This window comes from Homo sapiens, chromosome 8 (assembly GCF_000001405.40).
Source record: "Homo sapiens chromosome 8, GRCh38.p14 Primary Assembly".
Taxonomy (NCBI): domain Eukaryota; kingdom Metazoa; phylum Chordata; class Mammalia; order Primates; family Hominidae; genus Homo; species Homo sapiens.
In genome coordinates, this window is record NC_000008.11 from 10,781,408 (window position 1) to 10,793,865 (window position 12,458).

The 12,458-nt window shown below is 43.6% G+C and overlaps 1 protein-coding gene across 2 annotated transcripts in view, besides 1 other annotated feature; it reads right to left on the bottom strand.

Moving 5' to 3' along the window:
* PINX1 (PIN2 (TERF1) interacting telomerase inhibitor 1) overlaps positions 1-12,458 on the bottom strand; it is a 74,915-nt gene that overhangs the window by 16,447 nt on the left and 46,010 nt on the right. The gene's annotated exons all lie outside the window — the stretch shown is intronic.
* Positions 8,589-9,089: an enhancer, noted in NCBI's record as "H3K4me1 hESC enhancer chr8:10647506-10648006 (GRCh37/hg19 assembly coordinates)". NCBI's record gives its function as "activates a minimal SCP1, AML or CMV promoter by ChIP-STARR-seq in naive H9 embryonic stem cells {active_cell/tissue: H9 hESC(naive)}" and the evidence as "EXISTENCE:reporter gene assay evidence [ECO:0000049][PMID:30033119]".

Genomic DNA, 12,458 nt, shown 5'->3' on the forward strand with positions numbered 1-12,458 from the left:
GCAACCTACAAATTAGGGAAAAATACTTGTAGACCATGTATCTGATATAAAGTTAATATCTGAAACTTAAAAAGAACTCAAGCAACTCAGTAGCAAGAAAATACATAACCTGATTAAAAAATGGGCAAAGATGCTGGACAGGTATTTCTCAAAAGATGACATACACATGACCAAAAGATGCTCAACATCACTAACCATCAAGGAAATGTAAATCAGAACCATCATGAGATATCATCCCACACCCATTAGGAGAGTTATTATCAAAAAGATAAGAGATAATAAGTGTTGGCAAGAGTGTGGAGAAACAGGAACCCTGTACACTGCTGATGGGAATGCAGATTGGCATACCCTCAAAGAAAAACAGTGTGGAGGTTCCCAAAGGAATTAAAAATACAATTACTGTATAGCCCAGCAACCCCTCTTCTGGAAATATACCCAAAGCAAATCAAATCACCTTGTGAAGATGCCTGCAGTCCCATGTTCACCGCAGCAGTTTGCATAATAGCCAAGACATGGAAACATCCTAAGTGTCTGTCCACAGGTGAATGGATAAAGAAACTGTGGTGTGTATGTATGTATACAGTGGAATATTACTCAGCCTTTAAAAAGGAGGAGATCCAGCCATTTGCCACGACATGGATGAACCTAGATGACACTATGGTAAGTGAAATAAACCAGACAGGAAAGAAAAACATTGCATGATCTCACTGATAAGATGGAATAGAAATAGAGAGTAAGATAAAATGTGGTTACTGGAGCAGGGTGGGGGATAGAAATGGGGAGATGTAGGTCAAAGGATGCAAAGTAGCAGGTGTGTAGGTCCCCACACTGTACCTTAGCTCTCTGCACTTCAGATCTAAGGTATGGTGTGGGGACTGTGGCTAATAACAGTGTACTGTGTCAGGAGGTTCACTAAATGAGATTACACCTGCTCTTGCCATGAAGGGAAAATGGGTAACTATGTCACTACATATATGTAACTCATAACATGTACAGCTTTAAATATACTCGATAAAAAAAAAAATTTTTTTTTTTAAGTACTCAGAGGCCAGGCGCAGTGGCTCACGCCTGTAATCCTAGCACTTTGGGAGGCCAAGGCAGGCGGATCATCTGAGGTCGGGAGTTCAAGACCAACGTGGCCAATATGCTGAAACCCCGTCTCTACTAAAAATACAAAAATTAGCTGGGCGTGGTGGCTCACGCCTGTAATCCCAGCCACTCAGGAGGCTGAGGCAGCAGGATCACTTGAATCCAGGAGGCGGAGGTTGCAGTGAGCCGAGATGGTGCCACTACCCTTCAACCTGGGCAACAAAGTGAGATCTGTCCAGATAAAAAAAAGTACTCAGGAGCCAGACTCCCACTGGGTAGAAATGGAAAATTTGATCACCAATAAAGATAATAGCTGCAATGCATTGAAACGTCAAACATTTCAATTCACGAACAATAAAAAAAGGAAAACCCTCCAGTCATCTTTGGAGAATGCTAGAGCACCTCCTCATTTGGAAATTGCTAAATAAAGGATATAAATATTTATTCTGTCTTTCCTATATGCACTGTTCCTCAGAGTAATCTACTAATAAGGGGAAACACACATTCCAAATTTCATTCTAAAAATGAAAGAGGAACAGAAAGAAATATGGAGGGAGACTCCATAGATTGCAAGAAATTTAAAAGATATATCAACCAATTGTTACGTGTGACCCTTATTTGAATCTTAATTCCATGAAAATGTAAAGAAAACTGAAATTTATGACATTTATGAACATTGAGCTTTGAACACTTATTAATAGTATGCAATTACTATAAATTTTTATAGAGTATAATGGCACTGGAGTTATACATTTTAAAAAAGAACCTCTTAACCTTTAGAGATAAATACTCAAGTACTAAAATACCTGTGGATGAAATAGTGATTTCTGGGATGGATTTGTTTCAAAGTAACACAGAAAGGAGAAGTGTCTGGAGCACTTACAGACTAGCCATCAGTGTGTTTGTTGTTCCCCAAAAGGACCTGTGCTTTCAAGAACCCGTGTCTTTGCAGATATGGTCTTTTTTTCTCTCTGGAAAGCCTCTGAACCTGCCAGTTGCTGCTCCTTCAAGACACATACAAAGGTTATCTTCCTTGATCTCTGCAAGCTGAATCCAGCGCTGCATCACATATGCCCCCAGTCCTCTGGCACAGCACTCAAGGCCTTTGCTCCAGTTGACTGTGAATGTCCCAGACTTCCTGATGAGGTTGTGAACAGGGATTATACCTTACCCATTTAATCATCTGTCATGCAATAATGCTACTGGGTAGCAAGAAAAACATCTGAGTTAAGTAGGAAAAGGAATTGGAGGGGAGAGGGAAACAGGAAGAAAATGATTAAAGTACTATTACTCAGAACTATGAAATAATGAGATATTACCCTGAAGGGAGTCATTCTAAGACTATAGCCTTGTGTAAAGACACTGAGTCAATTCAAGCCTGATCCTAACATTTTAAGACACAGATGACTAGAAAGTAGGCTCTGTTTATGAATCACTTGTAACTTCAACTCAAAGACAGCTGATTTTATTCACTAATGTTAAGAAGGTGCCTCCACAGTATGAGCCTAACAGTGGTTAAAGCCTTGTAAGAATCCCTATAAAGAGTCTAAACTAAACTCTGACCAATGATGATAATGTGTCATGCATCATGATTAATCCAATTTAGAGTATCTGAGGTCCATTAAAAAACAAAATAATGTGAAAGTCATGCTTCTGCCTGTATAATAACACACAGATCTCCATAGCAGGGAGGACACAGGGGATGAGAGTGAGGAGGCTGATCTAAAACGAAATGACTGATTTAACTAAATGAATAATATCACTGTTTTACTTTAGAAAGCACATCACACATTTTAGAAGACTTATAAGTGGCTCTCCTTAGGATCACAAAGTAAGCAGGCACACAAATCCAATCTAAAACTTTTAACAATTTGGGAATCGGAATTCGATACATTATTTTAAAGCTGATACTCTACTTACAAGTTTCAGCGCTACCTAGAAATAAAAGAAAACTAACTGCACTGATTCCCAAAGTCTACTCAACAATTTCCTATAAAAGCTATGTTCCTTTTAGAAAGGGTGCTGACATGAAATGTTCAGATTTACTTAGGCAAAGTAGCTTTCCTAAGTTAGCTTTTCTGCTTGCAGAAAAATAAACCTCACAAAACCTAGTTTACTGAAAGGCATAAAGTAAGTTTAAGCACTTGTTAAAAAGCTATTTGGAGTTCAGGCCCACAAAATGCTTCAAAACCAGTCAGGTAAAATTTAAAACCTCCATGTGATTTTAAGAGTCAGAACGTGAATTAAAGGAGCCTGGACTAAAGTTAGGGGACAGAGGTGACTGAAGGGGGGATGTCATTAATGCTAGTACTTTGCTTAAAGCAAGCCTTTTTGATGCAGAAAAGATAAACTTGTCAAAGAACAACAGATGACAAATCAAAGACTAAAGCATTTCAGCCTCGTGCTCTTTGGCAGAGACTGCCCGCTGTTCGAAGACATGCAAACTCTGAGTGAACTTCCTAGAGGCTCAGGTGGCTTCAGAAAAGAATTAACAGAACCTTCAGAAACAGAAAAACCTACCAGCACTCTGATCCCTAATAAACATAAAGAGCGTATCATTTAAATCTTACCAAGGAAAAAAACTTCTTTTTAGAAAATTCCCATAACGTTTTAAGCTAGTTCAAGATTGTGTTTTAAACAGAAATTTCTGGTTGTTACAAAGTAGTTCCAATGGAATTATATAAGATTACAATTTAAAGACAGATAAGCATCAAGAGATATTCTAAACTACACTTACAGCTATTAAGGAAATCCTACTAACTTCAAGCTAAGTTTAAGCTGCTTCTTGCATTATTCTATGGAAGGATTGGCGTAGCAAGTTAACCCATCAGAATCTTATTTTAATACTTTACTTTAGAACCAGTCTACGAAAAGATAAGATTCTTAGACTCCATCCAATCATGCTTCGGTGATAAATTATCCAAATGACTTAATTATAAACAGTTTGAATTACAAAGAACTCCTAAGGCACAGGAAAATGTTTATTTAAATTACTATAAAAAACACTTTCAGGTAGCTTCAAGCAATAGGATAGCACTCACTTATACAAACATTTGTTGTACTAATTACAATTAGTTCTTATTATAGCAATCCCACTGGGACAGTTTGAACAATAAGCTGGGGTTGAAGCTGTTTTTTCCTCTAGAACAAAAGTTCTCAAACCCCAAACTCAAATAAGAAAGATCTTAAATACAAATGCTTTTCACAACACTGAACTAACTTGTGTGGAAAGACCGATTTTTAAGTACCCAGTATGTGGAGGTCTGTTGCTTGTGTATGTATACCAACATATACGTGTGTACAGGACCCCACTCCATGTAAGGAACAAACACTACATACTCTAATGGAACACAAATAGTGTACTGAGAATAGTTCTTTTCTCTTTAGCTAGACAAGTGTTTAGGTTTGTTACCCTGAAAATCAAATTAAAGATGGAAGGATTAGCTACCTGAAAAGATTCTGGACTGCGTATATCACTACCAGATTAAGGGAGTTTATGTGGCGAGCGCAGAGCTAGACCACGGTGAGTAAAAGGGAGGCAGTCACTTTCCTCACTGAGGACATCCAGGTTGTATGTGGATCCACTAGTGCCTTTGGTTTATAATCCTTCATTTTTCACATTTTCATCGATTCAAAATGCCTTGTTATCTTAAAAAATTATTCTTAATCATTTGTTCACTTCCTTGCCAATATATTTAAAGAGACGTTACATTTTAGGTGAATTTCTTGGGACTGACAAACCTGATAATTGAACATCAGAGTTAGGTCTATAAACGGCATCAATACCTTCCTGAAGCCAATACAAAAGTGAAGAGGCCTTCCTATTCTCTTGCATGGTTGGCTCTTTCTACAACACCAAGTAGCGTGGCTGTCTTGGTAAACAGGGGAATGGTGCCAGTAAAAGTGGGGAGTTGCACGGTTCAAACGTGACATTTCCTAAGCAAGGGGAGCCAAGACAGTGTGAGCAGAACTATAACCCTGAGAAAGAAAGAAAAAGTCCCAAGTCTCAGCGTGGCTGCAGCATAGGCAGGACCCCTCCAGCCTACTTTAGGAAAATTAAGCGTGAGCTACGCCCCAGAAGGGCTCACCCCACAGGGTTGGACCCTGTGACTGGTCAATGCAGGGGCACAAAGACTCTGCCCCCTCCAAAGATCTGGGGCAGTTGGGAAGAGCTCCCTGTGGAGTCAGCTGAAAACTTCAGTGTATACTGCAGGCCAAATCCTCTCCCTGTGTAATCTTGCTTCCTCCCTCTTGCTCCCCCAGAAAGCAGTCCTGAAAGCACTCCTAGGAACTTTCTGCAGGCCAACTCCCAGGAACCAACCTGCAAACTGCACTTGCACCCAGCGCCTCTCCCCAGACAGCCCTCAGCTAGTGGCAGATTGCACCCCACTGTGGACCCCTAATGGGGAGCATGTCTATTCGACTGTCTTTGAACATTTTTAAGACTCCCAAGTAGCCCCCCGATCTCAGTGAATTATCTCATGAGGGAACAATTACTGTGTGTGTGGAGGGGTAGGCAACAAGTATTCTGGTTGTAAAACGACATACATTTTAACAGTTTGACTCTTACCCAATTTTTCCCATGAGCTCTGTTATTTTTATATTTTTGTAAAATATTTTTCATGAATGCATAAATAGCAGAAATGTCTATATTTGATATATTATATATATAAATGTATTTACATATATATACACACATACACATATTTTATGCACACACACACACACGTTTGTTTGTTTTTTTTCCAAGAGACAGAGTCTTGCTTTATCACCAGGCTGGAGAGCAGTGGCGCAAACACAGCTCACTGTAGCCTCGAATTCCTGGGCTCAAGCAATCCTCCCACCACAGCCCCCCAAGGAGCTGGGACTATAAGTGCATGGACCACCACACTCAGCTAATTTTTAAATTTTTTGTAGAAATGGGATCTTGCTAGGTTGCCCGGGCTGGTCTCCAACTCCTGGGCTCAAGCAATCCCGCTTCAGCCTCCCAAAGTGCTGGGATTACAGGCGTGAGCTACCATGCTTGGCTGACATATCTTCTATTTGACATTAGTATTTTGAAAGAGTTTACAATATTATTATCTTTCAGATTACACTGTAAGCTATGTGATGGCAAGAACCATTTACCTTTTGGTAAAAAGCCACACAAGGGAAATTAAGGATAAATGTGGATTCAGCAGGGATGGTAATCTATGTGGTTAAAGTGAGTCAGTGTACGGTCTCTTTACGAAGTGAATACATTAAAGCCCACTGGGAAGGTGAAATCAACAAAATTCAGGACATGGGAAATTCTGTAAGACAAGGAATCCAAGGTGACTTCAACAATAAACTGCAAAGAAAAAAGAGAGAAGGAATGAGAACCTATTGGTTAAGAAAGTCTGAAAGACATTATCAATTAATCTATAATATACAGACCTTGTTAGATTCAAATACATATTCAAAGTAAAAAGTTATTAGACAACTGGGGAAACTTGAACATTGACTGGATTTGATGATACTGAGAAACTGTGGTTAATGTTTTTTGGTGTGATAACAGTACTGTGACTGTGTGTTATGGAGTCCTTATCTTTTAGATATATAATACATACAGATAGGATGATGTGATGTGTAGGAATTGCTTCAGTAATGGGAAAGAGGGGTGGGAGTACAGCTGGAATGAGGCTGGCCACGAATTGATCATTGTTAAGCTGGGTACTGGGCACAGACAGACTCCTTTATTATTCTCTCTACTTTTATACACATGTAAAGTTCTCCATAAGCAACAGTTTTAAAAAGTGAATGTAGGCTAGACACAGTGGCTCACATCTGTAATCCCAGCACTCTGGGAGGCCAAGGCAGGCAGATCACATGAGGCCAGGAGTTGGAGACCAGCAGTTGAAGACATGGTGAAACTTTGTCTCTATTAAAAATACAAAAAAATCAGCTGGGCATGGTGGCATGTGCCTGCAATCCCAGCTGCTCAGGAGGCTGAGGCAAGAGAATCGCTTGAAACCGGGAGGTGGAGGGTGCAGTGAGCCAAGATCGTGCCACTGCACTCTACCTTGGAAGACAGAGCAAGACACTGTCTCAAAAAAAAAACAGGAAAAAAAAGTGAATGTATATCTATTGGTATAATATCATTAGAGTTCTTCCTGGAGTACAGTAAGTAACCTAAGGCATCTGTGTCTAAGTGAAAGTGGTCACAGAAAGTGGCCTACCTGAAGCCTGGCAGTTCCATTATCCTAGGAGAAATCATCGTGGACTCTTGCAGAAAAACAAGGCTGAGAGGAAGCCAACCAAGGCAGAAAGGTGACCCCATCTGTGCGCTGACTCAGACAGCAAAGCGGTGGGTTTCCCTTATGAGATCATGGATTGGCCGCCAGAGACCGCTACTAATGTTAGAACAGGGTTTTTCCCTGAAAGAGTCACAATTCCTCTCCCTGGCAAAACAGGAACTGGTCCTAACAGGAATATTATGTAATACCAGAACTGAGGAGCTCAGGAAAAGCAGGATGAGGGTGGGGGTGGGGATTGAAGAGCAGAGCCCTTTGTGGGAGCGTGAAAGGGACAAGCCCAGTACCGGCTTCCTGCCAGCCTCCCCTTCCCTCCTGCTGCAGCGCCTTCCCTCACGGGATGAGCAGGCATCTCATAGGCAGACAGAACATGGAGCAGGAATAAAAGACTCCCACCTTCTCCAAGGCTGACGGTAACTGACCATGTAACTACAGTGTAACTGAGGGGACCCTGCATAGACAGAAGATGGGCCAGCGAGATGAGGAGCCATGCTGGACGAGCATCCTTTTTTTCCAGATGTAATAAGGTATAAGTGACAGAGGAAGACTCTATGTTTAAGGTGTGCCATGTGATGTTTTGACCTACATATACATAGCAAAATGATCCCCACAGTCAAGCTAATTAACACATGCATCACTTCTCACAGTTACCTTTGGGAGTGATGAGGACACCTAAGATCTAATCTATTAGCAAATTTCGAGTACACAGTGTGTTCTTATTAACTGTGGTCAACATACTGTATGCTAGGTCTCCAGAACTTACTCATCTTAGCCTCTGTCCAGAGGGGAGCTCCCTTGCAATGTAGACAGGGCAGTGGTCAGAGGAGTAGCATTTTAGGAATGTCCTCAAATAGCACAGGGACCATAAACAACACATGTCACAGGCCCAGTGGCAGAGCCAAAAACGCAAGCTGCTAAAGAGACAAAACGTGTTCAATTGTTTTTCAAGTTCAGTATTGTCCGTATCCGATGACCCTGCTTTTGAGACAGACAGGAAGGGTACACACCACTGAGACCACACACACACACCTCCACGTGCCCAGCTTTTCACTGTGGTTATCTCTGGCTGTTTGGATCATGGATTTTTCCCCCTTCTTCCTAATGTACTATGTACAGGTCATGGTTTCTCTAGAGTGGACAGGTACTGCTTTTATAATTTAAAAATATTTGAAATTAAAAACTCACACCGAAAAAACCCTACAAGCCTAGGGCAGAGTGCTCTCTCTGTGAGGACAACTGCATTCAGGAGGCCAGGATGCTGTCACAGCCAAGCGGCAGGTCCTGACCCTCATCTCGACAAGACACAGGTGGAGGCGCCGTCTGCACTCACTCTCAGGACTCAGGTTCCCTCCTCATCCCTTTCCCTTCCAGAAGGTCCCCATGCTTCTCTCAAGGTTCCTCCCCAACTACACCCCACCGGCTTGTGTCTGTAAGCGATCTAACGGGGCTGAATAAAAAAGTCTTCCAGCACAGCAAATGACAGAAAAAGTGTTCAAATGAGAACAAAAGAGGCTTTTCAGGAAGTCACAACTCGATGGCAGAGAAGGCTCTGACATGCACTGATGAGTACATGAAAGAAGTGAAGGACCTCACAGCATCAGGTCAGATGTGGAGGAAAAGTTAACAGCACGAGCGATGAGATGACAGGCAAGCCAGGGGGAGGAAGCAAGGGTGAGCCAGCAGAGGCTTCACATCCAGAGCTGCTCCCATCTGCACGTCTGCCCTGCCGTGCGCTCCTCTCCCAGGAGCCGTGTCACCATCCATCCAAGCTGTCGGAGCCTCAACTGGTCCATACTGTCAGCCCCCAATCCCAGGGCCTCGACCTCCCAACATGACTCCACCAAGCTGCCCCTTTCTCTTTGGGTCTTGCCACCACTGAGCAGCTCAGGCTGAGGCTCAGGCTCGGGCTCTGGCATCCTCTGGAACAGCGACCTCTACCTGCCTGCCTCAGTCTGGCCCCTCCTTGCCCTCTTCATTCTTAGTGCTTTATCTCTGCTGCTAAAGGGATCTTTCTAAAATGCAAAAGCAACCAGCCCCGTCCCATACTTCAAAGCCCCAGAAGCTCTCAAGTACACGCAAAACAAACAGTCTATACTCCCTGCAGATGTCTAATGGGGGCTCTCAGGGAAAAAAAAATCCCCCTCCCTCCCCCAGTTTTTATTGAGACAGAGTATCCCACCGTTGCCTCGGCTGGAGTACAAAGGCGCAATCTTGGCTCACTGCAGCCTCCGCTTCCCAAGTTCATGTGATTCTCCTGCCTCAGCCTCCCGAGTAACTGGGATTACAAGTGCGCACCACCACACCTGGCTAATTTTTTGTATTTTTAGTAGAGATGGGGTTTCACTATGTTGGCCAGTCTGGTCTTGAATTCCTGACCTCGTGATCTGCCTGCCTCAGCCTTCCAAAGTGCTGGGATGACAGGCATGAGCCATCATGCCCAGCCAAAATCCCCCCTTTTTAGATCCTCAGCTTATTTTTCAACACCCACCAGAAAAGTCAAAATTAATTCATAACAAGACTCTGTTTTTCAACATCCAGCTGCAGCTAAAGCATCTGAAGCCTCTAGTGACTCCCGTCCCTCCTCGGTGGAAGCACACATCGCAAATGCTCAGTACACAGCATCCTTGGGTCACTGCAGGCACAGTATGAAGTGACCAGCTTAGGGATGGCAGCTGCTCCAGGCTCCTGGCCGTGACGAGGGCTGAGGGGATCAACCCCTCGGACCACCAACAATCCACTTGTGGCATGCCAGCTGGTAAACTCCAACTGAGAATAAAGGGGACTGTTGAAACCTGCTTGTGAAGCTACAATTAGAATTTAGGCTTCAGTGCAAAGTTGGAAACATAGCTATATTCTTTTAAAAGGACTGGTGGGTTATTTTGGTTTGGGGAGCTCCAGCCCCCATCTTTGTGGCGGCTGCTGATGTGCTTGGGCGATCTGCTGGCCCCCTGGCTTTCTAGAGAGAGTCTGACTACAAACTATAAACCCTGGAAGAGACGCCAGGGTGGTGGCGGCAACCTCTCTCCAGCACTGCGCGAGGCAAAGGACTTGCATTTGGCCTGTGGTGCTGCCGCGGTTCCTGCCTGGGAGCGGGGAGACATCCTGCCCTCTTCCAGGTTGACAAGAAGCGTGCAGCTTTTGAAGGCCCTGAGACCCCCAGGACAACATGCCCCATCTCAGTCTCTCCACAGAGGTGCCAGTTACACCTGGCAGTGATGAGACTCTTAACTCTCCGTGCTGGCCAGGACCGCCCCCTCTCTCCCGCTCAGGACCAGCAAGGGTAGCGCTGGAGCTTGTCTGTATTACGATCAGCTATTGGAGTCTGAGTCTCTGGATAAAGGTCCAGCTATTTAGAGACCTAGAGAATTATCCTCTCATTGGATGACAGCAGGCCCCGCAGATGCGCTGGCCTCGCTCTCCCTGCACTCTCCGCGCTGGATGGGCCTGCAGCTGCAGGTTCCTCTCTGCCCTCTTTCCACTTCACGTCCGCACCCACTGCTACTTCTGCTTGAAAATCCTCCTGCATCTTCTCTTACTGACCCTTTTGTCCTTTATGGACTAGCAAGGACAACACCTCCTCCAGGAGGGCAGGAACCCACCTGAGAGGGAGATGCCCCGGGGGCCACGTGCACACCTTGCCTCCAGCTCAACAGTTAACCAAACCGCATCAAAATCATTGACCGTCCCTCCCCCGTGACGCTGTGCGCTCCCTGAAGGGACAGACTGTGCCTCTTCTTCACAGTCCATGGTTAAGAGCGCCTGGCACCCGCCATCACTCAGGAGTGGTTCTGGGAGAAACAGATGAAGTAAAGCAGTTTACAACAAACAGAAATACTCTCAGGAATGGAATTCATGAAAGGCTTGCAGATGGTACACCACATACACGCCGCCGGTACTCTGGCAAAGGTATTTTTAGCATCTTGAGATTAAATGGTTGTATCTATAGGTGACTGTAATAGGAAAAAAAGAACTACTTCAGGGACACGATTAATTGCTGTGATGTGATAAACAGCAGTCTACATTGTATTCCTCATGGCATAGCTGTCACCTGTGTGAATTACTTAGCTCATAATGTTTACTATGTTAGTTAGTGTGAGTATACACAATACACCATCTCATTATCTGAGATGCCCCCTTACCTCTCCCAGTCAAGCAGCTTTCATTTCCAGGTGGAAGCTGACCGCACACTGCACCTCAGCCCTTGTCCAGACTGTCTTGTTGCCACTTCCATGGATTTGCTAGATCCTGCTCCAAATGAACGTGTTTCCCGGCGTGCCATTCTGACCCTCGCTAACATCTACTGAGTGCCTACTATGCGCGAACACTCTGCTAGGGGTAGATACACATGATGACGAAAGCATGATCTTCCGCTTGAGGTGCTTCAAGAAGTGTAAGCTTGAAGAGCTCCTGCCCCCAAGTCTGTAACTCCTAGTGTCTGCATCCTCTAAACTATTTTAACAAGCATATTATCTACATAATGCTCAATTAACTGGTCTACAAACCAAATTATTATTGACAAGTTCTTCTGAGCCAAGAGTTATGCTCCTGAGCTTAGTTTGCCCAAATGTTTTCACCTAGACCAGGGGTGTCCAATCTTTTGGCTTCCCAGGGCCACGCTGGAAGAAGAAGAATTGTCTTGGGCCATCCATAAAATGCACTAACACTAATGACAGCTGATGTGCTATTTAAAAAAAATTGCAAAAATATCTCACAACATTTAAAAGACTTTACGAATTTGTGTTGGGCCACATTCAAAGCCGCCCTGGGCAGCATGCAGCCCACCCGCCATGGGCTGGACAAGCTTGACCTAGACCATTACCTTTCTACCAAAAAGCTTCTAAGGAATTAATGCTAAAGAAAGGACACAGACGTCCGCTGGAACGGGGGCATTTGTTTTAATTTTAATTATTAAAGGTCATTAATTTCAATAGCCAGAAAAAAAAAAAGACCTTACTTGAAAAACAAAAGTATAGTGAATTTACAAACCATTTTGCCTCAGGGATCTCTGTCAAAGCAGCAACATGAATACACTTAATGCTGTTGTAACAAATCATGACAACATGAGTCACTGAGGAGCCTCTTAGTATATTCCTTATG